The following is a 22,223-nucleotide window of genomic DNA, read 5'->3' as shown; positions in this document are numbered from 1 at the left end:
TAGAAGTGTTAAGAATCCTTTCCATTACTCGTATCTTTTTTATCCCTTGTTCTTATCACTCTATTAGGTCTTTATGTGGCTATTGCTTTGAAGACAAAGAATAACGAAGATTGAGCCCAGCATCTTGCTATTAAGGAAAAGTGAGTTCTTTTCCTTCTCTCATAAACTAAATTAGGCCAAATAAATATTGTATTTCCCTTGTTTACCTATTTTTTGTTCATCTTACAAATATGGCAAGTCTAGGGCTACAAATCAAAGATAAGTCATATAATTATCTGATTACCAACTATTTTAATGTTTACAATCATGGCTGTCACATAGAGGTTTAGCTTGAAATTATTACTATTATTATTATGATTACTATTTGGGGGGTGGGGGGAGACGGAGTCTCACTCTGTTGCCCAGGCCGGAGCACAGTGGCACGATCTTGGCTCACTGCAACCTCTGCCTCCTGGGTTCAAGCAATTCTCCTGCCTCAGCCTCCTGGGTAGCTGGGATTACAGGCATTTGCCACCACTCCAAGCTAATTTTTGTATTTTTAGTAGAGACAGGGTTTTGCCATGTTGGCCAGGCTGATCTCGAACTCTGGACCTCGTGATCTGCCTGCCTCGACCTCCCAAAGTGCTGGGATTACAGGTGTGAACCACTGCACCCTGTCAAAAATTTTTAGTCCAAATTGCCACCATTCTACTGCTGTGTGGCCAGGGTTTGGGGTCTATATAAAGAGTCCCATAGTTATTACCTCCTGCCGTAGGCTGGGCATAGGTGCTATAAATTTGTTTTCATTGTTGGTTATAATTTATACTCTTCTAAGGTAATGGTGCACATATAAGTTAAGCATAGCAGTAAAAATTTGCTTCAAACAAATAAACAAAATACCTATTTTTAAAGTGAAAAATGTGCAAAGAATATACATTTTAGGCCCATAAAAAGGATATGGGACATTCTCTTTCCTATCCCAATATACCTATTCATTTCCTTCAGCTCACTGAAACTTCATTTTATGAACTTACTTAATGTAAATAAACAAATGAAAAAATAAACAAATAAACTTCTTGGTGCCATGCTAAATGTTTCAACTATGTTGCAATTAAATATCTTGTATCAAAAATTTTAAGAAAACTAAAAGTTGAAACTAAAAGGTGTGAACAATCAATCACAGGACAATGATTTTATGCCTTTATTTTAAAAATGGAAGGTGAAATTGAGCTTTGCTTTTCTACAACATCCATTAACTGCTCTTTTAAAAAAGAAATACCAAAAAGCATAACGTCGTAGTAATAAATTGATTTGGGATAGAAATATACACACAAAAATGTTACTGCTGAAAAATCTAAAGACTCCACCAAAAAAGTATTTGGACTGGTAAACAAATTCAATAAAAATGCAGGATACAAAATCAGCATACAAAAATCAGTAGCATTTTTTTTTTTTTTTTTTTTTTTTTTGAGACGGAGTCTCGCTCTGTCGCCCAGGCTGGAGTGCAGTGGCGGGATCTCGGCTCACTGCAAGCTCCGCCTCCCGGGTTCATGCCATTCTCCTGCCTCAGCCTCCCAAGTAGCTGGGACTACAGGCGCCCGCCACTACGCCCGGCTAATTTTTTTGTATTTTTAGTAGAGACGGGGTTTCACCGTTTTAGCCGGGATGGTCTCGATCTCCTGACCTCGTGATCCGCCCGCCTCGGCCTCCCAAAGTGCTGGGATTACAGGCGTGAGCCACAAAAATCAGTAGCATTTTTATGTTCCAGCAGCAAACAACCCAAAAAGGAATTAAGAAAGTAATTCCATTTACAAAGTAAAAAAAACACATACCTAGCGATAAACTAAATCAAAGGAGGGAAAGTTATCTACAATGAAAACTATAAAGTTGATACCAGAAATTGAAGCAGACACGAAAAAATGGAAAACTATTCTATGTTTGTGGATTGGAAGAATCAACATTGGTAAAATGTCTACATTACCCAAAGTAATCTACAGACTCAATGCAATCCCTTCCAAATATCAATGACATTTTTCACAGACATAGAAAAAAATCCTAAAATTTAAGTGGAACTACAAAAGACCCAGAATATCCAAAGCCATCCTGAGCAAAAGGAACAATACTGGAGTAATCACATTACCTGACTTCCAGTTATACTACAGAACATCATGGTACTGGCATAAAAATAGACACAGAGACCAATGGAACAGAATAGAAAATCCAAAAACAAATCCAAATCCATACATCTATAGTGAACTCATTTTCAACAAAGGTGCCAATAACATATATTAGGAAAAGGATAGTCTCTTCAATAAATAGTGCTGGAAAAACTGGATATCCAGACACAGAAGAAAGAAACTAGACCCCTATCTCTCACTATATACAAAAATCAAATTCAAATTGATTAAAGACTTATATCTAAAACCTCATACTGTGAAACTACTAAAAGAACACATTGATAAACTCTCCAGGACATTAGTTTGGGCAAAGATTTCTTGAGTAATTCTCCACAAGCACAGGCAACCAAAGCAAAAATGGACAAATGGAATCATATCAAGTGAAAAAGCTTTCACACAGCATTGGAAACATAAAAAAAGTGATGAATTTATTTATCTGGGAATTATTTATCTGGGAAGCCCCGTCTAAATGAGGTGATGAATAGCCCATTTACCTTGATGTGATTATTACATATTTTATACCTGTATCAAAGTATCTTCTGTACCCAATAAATATATACACCTACTATGTACCCATAAAAATTAAAAATAAAATTATTTTAAAAATTAAATTATATATAATTCCATCTGCAAACCATGAACAATTATGAGATTTTTGTTTTACTGTGGTTTTAACCATTGTTCTTTAAAATACCTTGTCCCTCCTTCTAGTAATATTTCAATTTTAGATTAAATGAGTTGTTATAAGTACAGGTCTAATTCAATTAACTAAAAAATATTGTAGTCTAGCTTATTGTATTAACTATATAAAATGTGTGAGCAAAAGAAGGTGAACACTATTTAAAATATAACACATTTCTGGGAGGCTAAATTGGGGCTAAATTGGTCATTCTGCCATATTATTATTCATGAAAAAGAATACTCTCCCTCAAAAAGATGAATATTTGCTATCCAAGGGGCATATATAAACAGAGTAGAAGAGAAAACCTCTAATTATTTTTACCAAGGACACAGCTAGATTGCCTGTTTCCTGGTGTTCTGATACGATACTTATCAAACAACCTTCAGATTTTAATTTGACTATCCATGTGGCTGTTCCACAGGGAAAGAATAAACTAACCATTAAATGTAGATATTCATTCTACTTGGAAGAGTCTTTTTATATAAATGAATACATTTTAATTTCAATTTTATGCATTAGCCCCTTGAGATTGGTTAGCTTGAATCTATCCCAGAGAGACTGATTAATTCTCAATGCATTGATAAAACAGAATTTCTCATCACTCAAAACTGATGAGATATTGGAAATAGTGACAAAACTGAGGTGCTATTTTAGACGGGGCTTCCCAGATATTAGAAGACTGAATTCAATTTGTGAATAAACAAGGTGGCAAATAATGTGTGTCATGAAAAAAATACTTGAGAAGTAAAATCACCAGTTTAATATAATTGATTGGGAAATGCATAAGTATATGATACTGTCTATAATGCTGGGAGTAAAAGTAACAAATCAATAAAATATTTCTATCTTTTGTCAATGCAATGCTGTTCAACCCTTCTTGCAGGTGGTAGGTGTCATATTCTTTTAGGGATGCTGTAATAAAATAGCATAAACTGAGTAGCTCATAAAGAAACAGAAATATATTTCTCACAGTTGTGGAGTCTGTGAAGTACAAGATCAAAGCACCAACAGATCCAGCAAGTTCCCACTTCCTGGTTCACAGAACAATGCCTTCTTGCTGTGTCCTCGCATGGAGGAGGAGGCCAACAGTCTCCCTCAGGCCCCTTTTGTAGGGCATAAATTCCATTCATGAGTTTGAAGCCCTCATGATCTAATCACCTTCTGAACCCCACCTCTCAATACCATCACCTTGGAGGTTACAACTTCAACATATAAATTTTGAGAGGGCACAAACATTCATAGTATAGCAGCAGATGAGGCCATCTAGAGAGTGCTTACATAAGCCAGTACCACAGCATACTCACCAGCAGCCAGTGCTTAACAGGCAGACATTTTGCTAAGGAAGGGATGACATGGACCAAGCCAAAAGCTAGTTTCTTGGCCTGCCACAGGAACAGTGAGGGAAAAGCCAAAGATGAACTTTTGAATAATGAGGCTGAGAATGACAATCTATAAGAGAGATTAGAATTGAAACAGCTGGTCAATATTAAAATGCTGAGGGAAAGAAATTGTATTCGAGTGAACTGGGAAGGACTCATCATATTCATGCTCTAGATTTTCTCATCAGCCTTCAGTCGAAACTATAACCTTCCCATCTATGCAGTTGAGTTCAGTTTTGTCCTGACTACTTGGAGCATCAGGTATGTGATGATTAATTTTATGTGTTAAATTAACTGGGTCACAGAATGTCCAGACATTTGGTCAGAGATTATTTTGAGTGTGTCTCTGAGGGTGTTTCTGGATGATAGTAATATTTGATTAGGTAGAGTGAGTATAAAGGGGATTGTTCTTTCTAATGTGAGTTGGCTTAATCTAGTCAATTAGAAACACAAGTAGAACCAAAAGTTTGAATAACGAGGAACTTTTGCCTGACTGCTTGAGTAGGAACACTGGTCTTCCTAGCTTTTGGACTATGATTGGGACAACATATTGGCTTTCCTGGATCTCCAGTTTGCCAACTGCAGATCATGAGATGTCTCAGCCTCCAAAATCATGTGAGCCAGTTTCTTGTAATAAATCAGTAAATCTCTTTCTTTATAGATAGGTTGATATCTATAAAGATATAAATATAGATTGAATGTAGATATAAATATAGATTGAATAGATAAAGATTTTCTGAATCTCTCTTTGGTTCTGTTTCTCTGGAGAACACTAATGCAGTTCTTTTGGTACCAAGAAGTGGGGTGCTGCTATAACAATTGCCTAAACATAAGGAAGGGACTTTAGAACTAGGTGATGGCTAGAGGATGAAAAAGTTTTGAGGTACATAGAAATATGGATGTTAAGAGTGATTTTGGTGAGTCTCAGATGAAAATGAAGAATATATTACTGAAAATTGGAGAAAAGGAGATTCTTTTACAGTGGCAAATAACTTGGCTGAACTGTGCTCTAGTGTTTTGTGGAAAGTTGAACTTGTGAGTAATAAAGCTGGATATTTAGCTGAGGAAATTTCTAAGCAATATTATTGAAGAAGCAGCTTGGATCCTCCTGACTGTATTAAAATGTAAAAGGAGAAAGTCAAATTGAAGGATTTGTTAAAAAGAAAAAAGAAACTAGAACTTGAAGATATGGATAATCCGTAGCCTATCCATATTCAATAAATTAGAAAACAGTGTTCTAAAGAGAACGTCATGGGTGTGGCTAGACTATTAATTGATAGAGATTTAATAGGATTATGAAGGTAGAAACACTGCCAGTTCAAACTGAAGAGGATGAAGATGGGACAAAAGGAAAAAACACTATCAGACTTCTTGAATTTGACAGGACAAGGCGATAGAGGTATTTGGCTGCAAATGTATCCTCTTCTTAAAGAAGAGAAAAAAATGACCCTGAAAGAGATTCATATATCCCGGCCACTGGCTAAGTTTCAGCAGCCAGATGGCCTCAACCTGGGATGATTCTGCCACTCTTATGGAGCTAGATGGCAAGGCATTGAGTCAAAGAGGATGATTCTTGAGCCTTAAGATCTATAATGGCAATTGCTTTGCTAAATTTTGGATTTGCTTGGGACACATCAAACTTTCTTTATTTCAATTTATTTTTTTTGGAATGAAAATGTCTATCTTATGTCTGCCCCACCATTGTATTTTGGAAGCCAGACATAAGTTGTCTGGTTTCACAAGTTCACATGAGAGGAATTTTGCCTTAGGATGAAACATTCCTTGAGTCTCATCTGTTTCTGGTTTAGATGATGTTTTGATGAGACTTTGCACTTTAGACTTTAGAGTTCATGCTGGGACAAGTTAATATTATTAGAGCTAATGGATGGAATGAATGCATTTTGTATGTGATAAGGACATGGATTTTGGAAGGCCAGGGATACAGTGGTATGTGTTGTAGCCCTAACCCCAAATGTACCGGTATTTAGGTTGAGGTCCTTAAGAAATAATTGCATATATAGAAGAGACACCAGAGGGCTTGCTCAGTCTGTCTCTCTCTGCCATGTGAGGAACCAGCAAGAAAGCAGCTATCTGTAAGCCAAGAACAGAGCCCTCACCAGAAGTCAAACATGCTGACATCTTGATCTTGGTCTTTCTGACTCCAGACCTGTGAGAAAGTTAATTTCTGTTGTTTAATCCACCTAGTCTAGGGTATTTTGTATGGCAGCCCAAGCTGGCTAAGACAAAGAGAGACTGTCAGAGACTGGACATACAATACTGAAATCAGAAGAGAGGACTGAGTGAAAGAGTTATCCAAAAGTCATTAGGGAGGAATGAGAATCATAATCACATATAAATGCTCATCTAGTCAGAAAAGGGACATGAGAGACATACAGGTAGGGGAACTGGTTCAAGGAAAAGTTTGAAGCCAGGAATAAGCTTATGATGTGCTTGAAAATAGTAACTTAAAAAGCTAGCTCAAAGGGAGGGTTTTTGAAGGAAGACATAAAGGCTCAAAGTCCGTTTTGGGCCATAGGGTAATGAATCATGTTTTAAGATGATGCATGCATTTCTGAGACTCTATGCATTGTCTGGTTTGGTGGCTGTAGGGATAAATTTATACTGATCTTTCCATATTTTTTCTATACTACTTCTTGAAAGTAATACAGTAGGACAATTGAAGTCCTTTCAAATCTCAAGGTACTCTGATCCAATTGCACATTTTTAACATGCCTGACTGAGAGGAAGGACATAGTCTGTATATATAAAAAGATATTAAATGGCCGTAAGAACTATCAAAGCTATGACCTTCAATTTGCTGACAACAATATTTAGTATAGTGATCACCAAATTGGGTCTGCAAACTCCTCAGGAGTATACAATGTGATCTATGAGGCCACTGTCAGAAAAAAAAATATTGGCATGTTTATTTATGTTCTTATTTATTTGTTTTGGAAAATATTTTAAGATATGCATAACATAGCAATTATATGCTATGAAGCAATTATATACTTATGAAGGTGTATTTAAAATATTTGCGAATAGAATTGTGCAACATAAGATTTTAAAGATCATTGCTTCAGTCAACTGAATTATTCAGTAGATGAAAGATGACTGTCTGGTAGGGATATTAGGTGGTTTCCCTGAGAAGCTGAAAATCAGATGAAGGAATTTAAATATGGAAATTACAAAGTCAGATTGTTTTTCAGAGAGCTCATTCTGAAAATTCACTGGAATACAGGGGTGGGGATGACACTGAAAAGCAGTTTAAGCAGTCAATAACTTCTTCTCTTCAGGTAGTGAGGGTTTGCTCTAGAGGGGATGATAATGGGGACTGAGAGGAAAAGACTGAACAGATAAATAATGATCAGGTAAAATAAGCCGAACCTGGCGATTGATTGAATGAGGAGTGTGAAAGAAAAAGAGAAATGAAGGATGCCTCCACAGTTTTTAACGTAGACGACCATTTAAACATTAATTGCAATAGATAATAAAACTAGGGAAGGTTTGTGGGTAATTTATGACCAGTACAGTTGTAACCATGTTGAGTTTGAGATACTCAAATCCCTTTTTAGGTGAAGATAAACAGAAAAGAGCTGGAATATGAGGCTCAGAGGAGAAGTCTAGATAAACATATTGATTTGAGAATCAGAACAGGTATAAGTGGAGGGGCTATGAAAGCATAAAGAGTAATAGTATCAGATAACACATGCAGGACCAAGAATGCCCCAAAATATTAAGAATATACATGTGCCAGGAAAACAAATACAAAACACTTTATCTGATAAAAACTTTGTAATGTGATTTTTTAAGGGAATGGTGAAATGAAATGGTGATTCATAGTGATATGAAATGATGACTAATAGATAGTGATATTTTTCAATTTTTGAAAGCATCTGCTATTCAAGATGGCATCATGAGGTGTGAAAAAAATTTCATCCTAAAGAATTGGTAGAAATGTAATTTTTTTCTATATTACAAAGAATAATGACCTTAGAATAAATGTTGGAATTAAAATAGCTAAATACATGTGAATTTATGCATTTCATTTTGCAAAACATTGGCCAAAATTGGTTCAGATAAATTAAAAATAACTCCATCTAAATTAATATTTTACTTTATCATACCCTCAGGAAAATATGTATGAAAAAATTAGAAAATTTATTGTTTTATCTCAGACAATAAAAATAGGCCATTCTTTTACTTTTTTGAGCCTTTGATTATATTGTTTAAAATAATTTCAACTTTTATTTTAGATCCAAGGGGTATACATACAGGTTGGTTACCTAGGTGTACTGTGTGATGCTGCGGTTTAGGGTATGGTTGATCCTGTCACTGCAGTAGTGAGCATAGTACTTAATAGTAAGTTTCTCAACCCTTACCTCCCTCTCTCGCTCACCCCTCTAGTAGTCCCCAGTGTCTATTGCTGTCACCTTTATGTCCGTGAGTACTCATTATTTAGCACCTTCCTATAAGTGAGTATGTTTAGTATTTGTTTTTCCATTTCCCTGTTAATTTACTTATAATAATGACCTCCAGATGCATCCAGTTGTTGCAAAATACATGAGTTTATTCTTTTTTATGGCTATGTAGTATTTCATAATGCATATATATGACATTTTCTTTATATAATTCACCATTGATGGGTATGTAGGTGGATTCCATGTCTTTGCTATTGTGAATACTGCTGTGAAGAACTTATGTGTGCATGTGTGTTTTTGGTAGAAAGATTTATTTTCTTTTGGATATATACCCAGTAAGAGGATTGCTGGGTCAAATGATAGTCCTATTTTAAGTGTTTTGAAAAATCTGGAAACATCTGTCCATGGTGGCTGAACTAATTTACATTCCCACCAATAGTGTGTATAAGTGGTCCCTTTTCTCCAGAGTCTCACTAGTATTGTTTTTTGACTTTTAAATAATAGCCATTCTGATGGGTGTGAAATGGTATCTCATTATAGTTTTGATTTGTATTTCTCTGATGATTAGTGATGCTGAACATTTTTTCATGTTTTTTGGTCACTAGCATGTCTTCTTTTGAGAATCGTCTGTTCATGCCTTCCCCATTTTTAATGAGGCTATTTGGTTTTTGCTTGTTGAAATGTTTAAGTTCCTTACAGATTCTAAACATTAGACCTTTGTTGGATGATCAGTTTGTGAATATTTTCTTTCATTCTGTAGGTTGTATGTTTATTCTGTTGATAGTTTCTTTTGCTGTGCAGAAGCTCTTTAGTTTAATTAGGTCCTATTGTCAATTTTTGTTTTCATTGCAATTGCTTCTGAGAACTTAGCTATACATTCTTTCCCAATGCCATTGTACAGAATGGTGTTTCCTAGGTTTTCTTCTAGAATTCTTACAGTTTGAGGTCTTACATTTTAATCTTTAATTCATCTTGAACTAATTTTGTATATAGAAATAGGTAAGATCCCAGTTTCATTCTTCTGCACATGGCTAGCCAGCTATTCTGGCACCACTTATTAAGTAGAGAATTATTTCCCTGTTGCTTAATTTTGTCAACTTTGTTGAAGATCAGATGGCTGTAGGTGTGTGGCTTGATTTAAGTGTTCCCTTTTCTTTTCCATTAGTCTATGTGTCTGCTTTTGTACCAGGACCATGCTATTTTTGTTACTATAGCTGTATTTGTCCATTTTCATGCTGCTGATAAAGTCGTACCTGAGACTGGAAAGAAGAAGAGATTTAATAGACTTACAGTTCCATGTGGCTGGGGAGGCCTCACAATCATGGTGGAAGGCAAGGAGAAGCAAGTCCTGTCTTACATGGATAATGGCAGTCAAAGAGAGAGCTTGTACAGGGAAGCACCTGTTTTTAAAACCATCAGATCTCATGAGACTCATTCACTATCACGAGAACAGTACAGGAAAGACTTGCCCCCATAATTCAATCACCTCCCACTGGGTTCCTCTCATGACATGTGGGAATTGTGGGAGTTACAATTCAAGATGAGATTTTGGTAGGGACACAGCCAAACTATATCATTCTGCCCCTGGCTCCTCCCAAAACTCATGTCCTCACATTTCAAAACGAATCATGCCTTTCCAACAGTCCCCCAAAGTCTTAACTCATTTTAGCATTAACTCAGAAGCCCACAGTCCAATGTCTCATCTGAGACAAGGCAAGTCACTTCTGGTTATGAGCCTGTAAAATCAAAAGCAAGTTAGTTACTTCCTAGATACAATGAAGGTTCAGACATTGGGTAAATACATCCATTCCAAATGGGATAAATTGGCCAAATCAAAGGGACTACAGGCCCCATGTAAGTCTGAAATCCAGCAGGGGAGTCAAATCTTAAAGTCCAAATGATCTCTTTTGATTCCGTGTCTCACATCCAGGTCATGCTGATGTAAGAAGTGGGTTTCTATGGTCTTGGGCAGCTCCAACCCTGTAGCTCTGCAGGGTTCAGCCTCTCTCCTTGCTGCTTTAATGGGCTGGCATTGAGTGTCTGTGGCTTTTCCAAGCACACAGTACAAACTGTCCATGGATCTACCATTCCGGGGTCTGGAGGATGGTGGTCCTCTTCACACAGCTCCATTAAGTGATGCCCCAGTAGGGACTCTATGTGGGGGGTCCAACCCCACATTTCCCTTCTACACTGCCCTGGCAGAGGTTCTCCATGAGAGCCCTGCCCTTGTAGCAAACTTCTGCCTGGACATCCAGGTGTTTCTGTATATCTTCTGAAATCTAGGGGGAGGTTACCAAATCTAAATTCTTGACTTCTGTGCATCCATAGGCTCAATGCAACATGGAAGCTGCCAAGGCTTGAAGCTGGCACCCTCTGATGCCATGGTGCAAGCTGTACCTTGGCCCCTTTTAGTCATGGGTGGAGTGTCTAGGACACAGGGCACCAAGTCCCTAGACTGCACACAGCATGCTGACCCTCAGTCTGGATCATGAAATCATTTTTCCTCCTAGGGCTACAGGCCTGCGATGGGAGAGGCTGCCATGAAGACTTCTGCCATACCCTGGAGATATATTTCCCATTGTCTTGGAGATTAACATTTGGTTCCTCATTACTTATGCAAATTTCTACAGCCAGCTTGAAGTTTTCCTCAAAAAATGAGATTTTCTTTTCTATCACATTGTCAGGCTTCAAATTTTCCAAACTTTTATGCTCTGCTTCTCTTGTAAAACTGAATACCTTTACCAGCACCAAAGTTATCTCTTGAATGCTTTGCTGCTTAGAAATCTATTCTGCCAGATACCCTAAATCATGCCTCTCAAGTTCAAAGTTTCACAAATTTCTAGGCAGAGGCAAAATGGCACCAGTCTGTTTGCTAAAACATAACAAGAGTTACCTTTGCTCTAGTTCCCATGGTGGAAGGCAAGGAGGAGAAAGTCACATTTTACATGGATAGCAGCAGGCAAAGAGAGACCTCGTGGAGGAAAACTCCCATTTTTAAAGCCATTTTTAAAGGTCTCATGGGACTCATTCACTATCATGAGAACAGCATAGGAAACACCTGCATCCATAATGCAATCACCTCCCACTGGGTTCCTCCCATGACATGTGGGAGTTGTAGGAGTTACAAGTCAAGATGAGATTTGGGTGGGGACACAGCCAAACCATGTTAGTAGCCTTATAGTATAGTTTGAAGTTGGGTAATGTGATGCCTCTGGCTGTATTCTTTTTGCTTAGGATTTAGTTGGCTATTCAGGCTTTTTTTGGTTCTATATGAATTTTAGAATAATTTTGTCTAGTTATGTGAAAAATGACCTTGGTAATGTAATAGAAATGATGTTAAATATGTAGTTTGCTTTGGACAGTGTGGCCCTTTTAATGATATTGACTCTTCAAATCCAGGAGCATGATATGTTTTTCCATTTGTTTGTGGTGTCATCTCTGACCTTTTTCAGCAGTGTTTTGTAGTTACACTTGTAGAGAACTTTCACTTTCTCGGTTAGATATATTTTTAGGTATTTTTTGTTTATTTGTATTTTGAGGCTACTGTAAATGTTATTGCAGTCTTGATTTGGCTGTCAGCTTCAATGTGATTGGTGTAGAAATGCTTCTAACTTTTGTACATAATTTTGTATCCTGAAAGTTTACTGAAGCCATTTATCAGTTGCAGGAGCCTTTTGGCCAAGCCTTTGGGGTTTTCTATTTATTGAATTATCTCATCAATGAAGAGAGAGTTTGGCTTTATCTGTTCCTATTTGGATCTATTTTAATTCTTTCTCTTGCCTAATTGCTCTGGCAAAGATTCCATGATTATATTGAACAGGAGTGGTGAGAGTGAAGATACTTGTCTTGTTCCAGTTCTCAAGGAGAATGCTTCCAGTTTTTCTCCGTTAAGTATGATTTTGGCTGTGTGTTTGTCATAGATGGCTCTTATTATTTTTAGGTATGTTTCTTTGATGCCTAGTTTCTCCAGAATACTCCACCCATCAAATACAGAATATACATTCTTCACATATACACATAGAACATACTCTAAGATTGATCACTTGCTTGGCCATTAAGCCAGTCTCAATAAATTAAAAAAAAATCAAAGGAATACCAACCGCTTTCTTAGTGGAAAAAAAATAGAAATCAATATCAATATCAAGAGTATCTCTCAAAACCACATATTACCTGGAAATTAAACAATTTACTCATGAATGACTTTTAGGTAAACAATAAAATTAAATAATAAATAATAAATGTAAAAATCATTTAAATTAAACAGAAATGCAACATACCAAAATCTCTGGGATGCAGCAAAAGCAGTTTTAAGGTAAAATTTTAGAGTTAAATGCCTACCTCAAAAAGTTAGAAAGATATCAAATTAAAGATCTAACATCTCACCTATAGGAGCTAGAAAAACAATAATGAAGTAACTCTAAAGATAGCAGAATAAAAGAAATAACTAAAATCAGAAAAGTACTGAATGAAATTGAGACACAAAAATTTATACCAAGTACCAACAAAACAAAAAATTGGTTAATTGAAAGAATAAACAAGATCGATAGACTGAGTAGTTTGACTAATAAAAAAAGAGTGAAGATCCAAATAAGCACAGTCAGAAATAAAAAGGGTGGCATTATAACTGATCCCACACAAATACAAAAGATCCTCAGACTATTATGAACACTTCTGTGCACACAAACTAGACAATCTAGATGAAATTGACAAATTTCTTAAAACACACAACCTTCTAAAATTGAATCAGGAAGAAATTTAAACCCAGCATAGACCAATATCAAATTCCTAAATTGATTCAGTAATAAAAAACCTACCAACCAATAAAAGCCCAGACCCAGTGAATTCACAGCAGAGTGCTTCCAGATATACAAAGAACAGTTGGTATCAATCCTTCTGAAACTATTCCAAAATATTGAGGAGGAAAGAATCCTCCCTAACACATTCTGAAACCTGACAAAGACACAAGGAAACAACAAAAGTACAGGCCAATTGCTAGGATGAACCTAGAGACAAAACATACTCAGCCAAATACTAGGAAATTGAATCCAGCAACATATCACAATGTTAATCCACTGTGATCAAGTAGGCTTCATTCCTAGAATGTGAGGCTTTTTCAACATGTGCAAACCAATAAATGTGATTAACCACATAAACAGAATTAAAAACAGTAACTGTATGATCATCTCAGTGGATGTGGAAAAAGCTTTCCACAAAATCTAACATTCTGTCATTATAGAAGCCCTTATGAATATCCCTTTTTCTTCATCTTAAATGTTCTTCCTTCACATTGCTGCTTAACCTTCAATACCCAATTCCTAGGTAGCATGCCCATAAAACTTTACTTGACTTCTACGTGTGTTGTCTCACTTATCTTTCCTACCCTACAGGTTTTTTTTAACCTAATTTATCATATTTTCCTCTAATCATTTATTCTCTTTCATTGTAGATTGCATTTATTTATTTACTTTTAATAGAACATAGTTGTTGTATTTTTTCTTATTGACTCTCAGGTACAGAGAATTAATTATGTTCTTTAGTTCATGGTACATCATCATTCTTTTCCCATTTGCATTCTTCTCCCCCATCCATAGGTAACATACTCATGTATCTGTTATTTATTGTCATAAAAGTATGGTATAAAGAATGTACCTTAAAAGTGTTTCTTCTTTTTTGGTCGAAAAAAGAGATAGACATCTATATATAGATCTAGACATAGATAGATAGATATAGAATCCATTGATATATGGGTATATATGTATGGTATATAGGTATCTATCCATATGTATGGGAATATATCTATAGTATCTGTCTATAGCTGTATACTCATACATATACAGTGTATGTGTATATGTACATACACAATATATAGCGTGTATAGTATTTATATGTGTAGTATATATAGTATATGTATATACACAAAATATAGTATACTATATATTATAGTATATAGAGATATATATAGAGGTATATATACTGTATAGTATATATCCATATATGATATGTACATTCATAGATATATATACTATATAGTATATATATGCATATGTATATCATACATGGATATATAGATATATAGCCTATATATCTGTGGATATATAGGCTATATATAGATATAGATACTATATATATAGTACCTATATATAGTGTGTGTATATATCTACATATAGGATCATATATTCATAGATGTATAGGCTATATATCTATACACTATATAGTACATATGAATATATATCTTATATATCATATATATCCATATATATGATATATATTCATATGTGCTATATAGTATATAGACCTATATATCTCACTATATATCCATAAGTAGTATATCTATATCTATGGATATATATATAAAATAAATATATTCATAGACATATATATCCATAGATAGTATACCTGTATTATATATTATTATAGATATACGTATACATATATGTTATAGATATAGATATTTTATATATCTGTATAGTATATGTAGACATCTAGGTTGTATTGCACATTTTAATCTGTTGCTTTTAAGAACTTCATAATATCCCTGGTGTGCTTTCTCTACATTTTACTTCAACTTGGAGTTAACACAAAGACTGCTGTAATGTATATTCTTGAATATATTCACATAGAGTCATAATTGATACAGTTTTTCAGCTGTTGAATTACTGAGTCCTGGAATATATGTGATTTTAATGTAAATAACTATCAGACTATTCCCAAGAGTAACAACAGGAACAGGAGAGCTCTTCTATCATTATATCTCTAACAATACTTGGCAACAGCTAGTATTTTAACTTTTGCAAACATTTCAGTGTAAATGGATAACTCATCTTAATTTTGCATTTCTAATTAATGAATTTGAAGATCTCTTCAAAAATTGGTTGGACATTTGAAGCACCTTGTATAATTTGCCTGATTATAGTTTTTGTTAATTTATTATAAAATTTTGTTTCTCTTTTTGATTTGCAAGCATTTGGGTATACTTTAGATATTATATTTGTATCAGTTTCAGATACTACAGGCATCTCTTTTCAGCCCATCAATCATCTGCTAACTTTTCTCATAGTGTCCTTAATTGAAGAAGAATATATGAATGTGATATAATTTAAGTCCTTAACCATGTGCCTTTATATATTTACATAAATTATAAAACATGTTTGCTAGATTTATTTTAAAAATCTAGCAGATATATGATTAGGACTTTTGGTAATACTTTTGTAACACTTGAAATGTTCATAATATTAATATTCCAATGGAGTAGCATGGCATTTCTCTCCATTTTGAAAGGTTTTATATATTATTAGAGTTTTAGATTATTTTCCACATTTTTGGTGTATTCTTTGTTGATTCTTAGGTATTTTAATTTTTAACTGATATTACAAATTATATTTTACTACTGGTAATATTTTGTAGTTTGTTATGGCTGATATACAGAAACAGCATTTATTTTCATATGTTGATCTTGTTCCAGAAAACATACTAAATTCTGATACCTTATTCATTCTATTGGTTTTTGATAATTTATTGGTAATAATTGGTAAATTATTTTATTATCTTTAAACAATAACAGTTAATTTCTTCATTTGCAAAGTTAATACTTCTTATGTGTCTTTTCCTATTGTATTTTTTCAGAACCCCAGTATTCTTATTATTGTGAAACAATAAAAATTATAACTGACATTTTGGACATTCTTGTCTTGTTCCTTATTTTAACAGGAGACTATATCTAAAATGTCTATTTTAAATGAAATATTCACTGTCAGTGTTTTGGATTAGAAACTTGACCATATCAATGAAACTCTCTTCTGTTTATTATTTGGTTTCCTTCCTCATGCTATGTGTTGATTTATACCAGATGCTGTTTCTATATCTCTTAAGTAATCATGAGTTGCTACTTTTATCTGTGGCCAATTACATGGATATATTTTCTGATATGGAATCATCCTTGCATTCTTGAGATAAACAATACTTGATTATTAGGTATTGTAATCACATATAGCAATCTGTTGGATTTAAATGGTATTTTTAAAAATATGTGCCTCTATGATCATACATTAAAAAGGACTATAATTTCTTTAACACTGTCTGTATTGAAAATTGGAATGAAAGGTCCAGTGGTCTTGTAAAATGGCAATATTTTGGTGTATTTCTTTCTCTCACTCTTAATTGGTACATGGATAGATATAAAATATAGTTATTTAAAATAGTATTATCCTATATATCTGTCTATATATCTATCTAGTTTTTATATTTCTTATTTTCCTTAACAGTGTATCTCCATCTCACCACATTTCAAAGTTATCATTTTTATAGTAATATAATATGCTATGAAATAGTAATGAAATATTCTATTAAAGTAATCTGAATTTTTTGGAAATGTTTTTCTTTTAAATAATAAAGCTATAATGATAACTACATGCTTTTGACAACTCAGTGCACCTATCCCAATACTAGTAAGTTCCCTTACCCCAGGGCTACATTTTCAACTTTGTATCCTTAGCACATAGGACAGCTGAGTTGTTTATTGTCTGTTGTTTTCCCATGATTTTTTAAAAAAATTTTCTGTTGGATGATAATGAAAGCTACTTTTGGGGAAATTTTTATGTTTTATTCTACTTGTAAACACTATTCATGAAGGACCCTCTTTTTTGGCTCAGAGTAGTTGCAATTTCTCAGGGCTGCATTTTCATTTTACAACGTGGTTCTCATGAGAGTGTCTCCACTGAATATAAGCACTTCGTTAGATAATGTTAGAGATAACTTAATACATTTTGCTAGCTACAGGAAAGCAATCACACTCCAAGCTCTGAATTTCATCCCTTAGTGAATCAAGAGCAAGTTTCCTATGGAAAGATAGGTTTTTAGCTGAGCTTTTGTTGTTTGAGGAAAGTTAAAGTACAGGATCAAAGGTGAATTATATTGTTATGTCTGCAAAGCCTTTTATTGTTGTGCTGACGTGTTTTGCTTATAGATGAATTCACCAAGAGAGAAGGAGAATGTTTCAGGTGCTACTAGCAAGTGTATATAGAAATAATGACAATTAGGCCTGTGTATATCCACCATTAATAAGAGAATAATTGAGTCGTTTGTGAAATTTTGTGGTCAAAGGAAAGAAAACATATAAGAACTGGATATACACAAGTCTTCTACTGTAATTTTCACCACAGCACGATTCACAACAGCAAAGACGGAATAAACCTAGATGCCCAGCAATGTTAAGAAATCTTTTATTATAGTTTGTGAACTCCATGCCTAAGGGCACCAAGATTCTTTCCACTGTATATGTGGATACCTCTGGTTTTCTTTTTCCTCTGTCTTCCTGCCTTGGGCCCTTGTCCTTGTACAATCTTAACTGAGAAAAAATAAAGAAAGAAATTCCTAACACTAATTGAGTAGGCACGTCTTCCCTCCTGATAAAGGTATTGTGCCATAATGCAAAAGGTGTAGGTTTGAAGTATACTTTGCAAAATGCAGAACTGCAAAATTCCATTATGAATAGGAAAACATTCCTTGTATTTTATGTTATGCTTTATTTTCTGGGATACAACTCAGAATTGTAAAATAGTTTGATTATAAAGATCACATATGCCCTTATACTGGAGCTGCAGGAGCTGCATACTTAATGTTTGTATTATATACGTTTTCTTCTCAATGTATTTTAATCAGTGAATTATAATTGCCTGGAATTTTGTCAGTCATAGACATTTTTCAACATCAAAGTGCTTTAATAAAGGAGACAAAGAATAGGAATAGTATTGTACCAAAGGCATATAAATGCACAGCTGTAGTCTCTATCTTCCAGACACTTTCTATCCTAGACATAAACAAATAAAATGAGCTTTTATTTTTATTGTATAGATTATTCTGATCAATACCCATATTAGCAAATTGTGTAGGCTAGGCCACACAATGTTTTACAGGACTACTTAAATTAGAGTTAATATTAGAATATGTCTGTAGAATGGATGCCGTAAATCAATTAGGTTGCAGTTAATATTTTTGAGTCTCAAAGAAAGGAAGCTATATTAATAAACAGCACTTCCATTAATAATTTTACTCTGTTCTAGAAACAAATCTACTTTTCAGTCCACAATTGGTGTAATGTTACCTGACTTCATTTCATTAATCCGTGCATAGAAATAAAGAAAATATAAATACATAAAAATAAGAGAAAAATAATGACAAATAATGAAAAGATGTAACAATTTAAAACAATTTTTGAGAGTTGAAAGGTAAATGGTTTATACAAAGATTCAAATTAATAGAATTTTTTTCTAAATGTGGTAAAGTGTATAACTATGCATGTGTATACATTTCTTTTTAAACATCTTTTTGTGTTTATAAAAATTGTTCTCACTATAAAACTTCTGGAAAATTTAGCAGCATGTGAAAAGAAAAAAGCACCCAATCTCTCATTATCATTCAAACCCTTGATTCTGTTTGGCATATTTACTTCGAAGCCCTTTTCTGTATTTGTAAACATAGTTGAGACAATTTTGTTTATATGTATTTTAATTATTTTTATTTGATTTTATATCTCCAAGTTTTACCCTTAGTAGCAAATCACCCCTGTTATTAAAACTTATTAAGCAGTGGGTTTTCATCTTACTGGCAATGAGATAAATGATCCTGGCTTACCATGGGACTTTATTTTCTCCCACTCTCTTCTCACTCACTCCACACCAGCCAGCCAATACCTACTTGTTCTTTCTCGACCATGCCAAGAACACCTCTTTCTTTTGGGGTCTTTCCCTTTGCCATCCCCTCTGCTCACAGTGCCCTTTCTCTTAGTGTATATATGGCTTGCTCTCCCTCTTAATTCGAGTGTCTGTTCTAATAACAGCTCATAAGAAAGCCTATCCTTTAAGAAGCTTTATCTAAATAAAGTTTCTCATTCCATCACTGTGTATATTCCTAGTTTACTTGGTTTTCTTCATATTACCTATGATAAGTATTTCTTTTCCTATAGTCTACTTTTTTCCCTGATTTTAGACACACACACCCCCCAAAATTCTAGTAGAGTCTTGTTTTATTGACTGCTCAATTAAGAGAACCTAGACCAATGTTTGATGCATAGTACATAATAATTTTTTTATTTTAGCATTATTTTTTTGAGACAGAGTCTTGCTCTGTCACCCAGGTTGGAGTGCAGTGTTGCGATCTTGGCTCACTGCAACCTCCATCTCCCAGGTTCAGACAATTCTCCTGACTCAGCCTCCCCAGTATGGATTACAGGCATGTGGCACCACGCCCGGCTAATTTTTGTATTTTTAGTAGAGATGGGGTTTCACCATGTTGGCCAGGCTGGTCTCCAACTCCTGATCTCAAGTGATCTGCCCACTTCAGCCTCCCAAAGTGCTGGGATTACAGGCATGAGCCACTGTGCCCGGCCACATATATAATAAATAATTGTTGAATGAATAAGTTATTGGTTTTAAATATTCAATTTCATATATATATCTTATTTCATTTAACTGTATGGTTGGGCAGTGCTTCATTAAATAGTGAAATAATTAGCATATTTAAAATAAGTTTTTTCAAACTATACCACAGGGCTACAGTAACCAACACAGCATGGTACAGGTACAAAAACGGACATATAGACCAATGGAAAAGAATAGAGAACCCAGAAATAAGGCTGCACACTATCAGATCAGATACAAAAATCGGATCTTCCATGAACCTGACTAAAACAAGCAATGGGGAAAGGACTCTCTATTCAATAAATGTTGCTGGGATAACTGGCTAGCCAGATGCAGAAGATTGAAACTGGACTCCTTCCTTATACCATATACAAAGATTAACTCAAAATGGATTAAGGACTTAAATGTAAAACCCAAAACTATAAAAACCCTGGAAGACAACCTAAGCAATATCATTCTGGACATAGGAATGGGCAAAAGATTCATGACAAAGACACCTAAAGCAATTGCAGCAAAAGCAAACATTGACAAATGGGATCTAATTAAACTCAAGAGCTTCTACACAGCAAAGGAGACAGTCAACAGAATAAACAGACAACCTGCAGAATGGGAGAAAATTTTGCAAACTATGAATCTCATACAGGTCTAATATCCAGCATCTATAAGCAACTAAAACAAATTTACAAGAAAAAACAACCCCATTAGAAAGTGAGCAAAATAAAATGTGGTACATATACACTATGGAATACTATGCCGACATAAAAAAAACACAAGATTATATCCTTTGCAGAGACATGGATGTAGCTGGATGCCATTATCCTTAGCAAACTAATGCAGAAACAGAAAACCAAGTATTGCATGTTCTCACTTACACGTGGGAGCTAAATGATGAGAACACATGGGCACATAGAGAGTAACAACCCATACATAATCTGTACAACAAACCACCATGACACAAGTTTACCCATTTAGCAAACCTGCCTATGTTCCCATGAACTTAAAATAAAGTTTAAAAAAGTGAGCCATGGACAGGGACAGATGCTTTTCAAAAGAAGAGATACATGCAGCCAACAAGCACATAAGAAAAGCTCAGCATTATTGATGATTACAGAAATGCAGATCAAAACCACAATGAGATACCATCTCACACCAGTCAGAATGGCTATTAATAAAAAGACAAAAAATAGATGCTGGAAAGGTTGTGGAGAAAAAGGAACACTTATACATTGGTGGGAGTTTAAATTAGTTCAACCTTTGTGGAATACAGTGTGATGATTCCTCAAAGACCTAAAAACAGAAATACCATTCAACCTAGAGATCCCATTACTAGGTAGTGTTTTTTTTAAAGTAAACATTAGTGTTCTTCTTTGCTTTTTCCTTTTTTTCTGGTGTTTTGCCTGTAGTCTTTGGCATTTCTTGGCTTGTAGATACATCACTCAATCTTTCACCTTCAGGTGGCATTTTCACTGTGTCTTTGCATCATTTTCCTGTGTCCAAATTTTCACGTTTTATAAGGACACTAATCATATTGGATTAGGGCCTGCTCTAATAAATGCAGCTTAACTTGATTACCTCTTTAAATACCCTATTTCCAAATGGGGTCACATTCATAGTTATTGAGGATAAGAATTGCAATGTCCTTTGAGAGGGATGCAATTCAACCAATAACACTAATGTTTACTTAAAAAAAACATGTTTTACTTTATTTTATTGATCAATATCTGTATTGTAAAGTGCACTGATTTAATAATTATAGTTTCATACTGTTTTATTTGTATAATACAATCAGCCTTCATATATCAACTTTTAAAAATATCTTATTCTCATTTTTATTTACAGATGGGTTTCAGAATATTTTTCTTCCCACATCTGCTAAATCTATAATTTAATCAGGAAAAAATTAATATTTTTCAAGTTTTTTTTCTGTTTAGGAGCATGGTATATTTCTCTATTTTTTTCTTTTATATATGCTCACATGGTTTTATACTTTTCTTCATAAAATACTGTCAGAATGCTTGAGCAGGTTATTTTTTAATTTTTGTGGGTACGTAGTAGGTGTATATATTCATGGGTTGCATGAGATATTTTGATATCAGCATGCAATGTTTAAGAATCATATCAGGATAAATGGGCTGTCCATCACCTCAAGCATTTATCCTTTATGTTATAAA

General features: G+C 34.5%; 1 long non-coding RNA gene across 5 annotated transcripts in view; it reads left to right on the top strand.

Annotated features, from left to right (window-relative positions):
- Positions 1-22,223, top strand: part of LOC101928570 (uncharacterized) — a 248,816-nt gene that overhangs the window by 105,359 nt on the left and 121,234 nt on the right. For 2 of the 5 annotated variants that reach the window (XR_241864.5, XR_001744206.2), the window contains one exon: positions 68-140. The exons of the other annotated variants lie outside the window; for them this stretch is intronic. This is a non-coding gene — a long non-coding RNA (uncharacterized LOC101928570). The remainder of the gene's footprint in view (positions 1-67; positions 141-22,223) is intronic. 5 annotated transcript variants of the gene reach the window in all.

Source organism: Homo sapiens, chromosome 6 (assembly GCF_000001405.40).
Source record: "Homo sapiens chromosome 6, GRCh38.p14 Primary Assembly".
Classification (NCBI taxonomy): domain Eukaryota; kingdom Metazoa; phylum Chordata; class Mammalia; order Primates; family Hominidae; genus Homo; species Homo sapiens.
The sequence above is the reverse complement of the archived record's forward strand: the minus strand, read 5'-3'. Positions and strand labels throughout refer to the sequence as shown.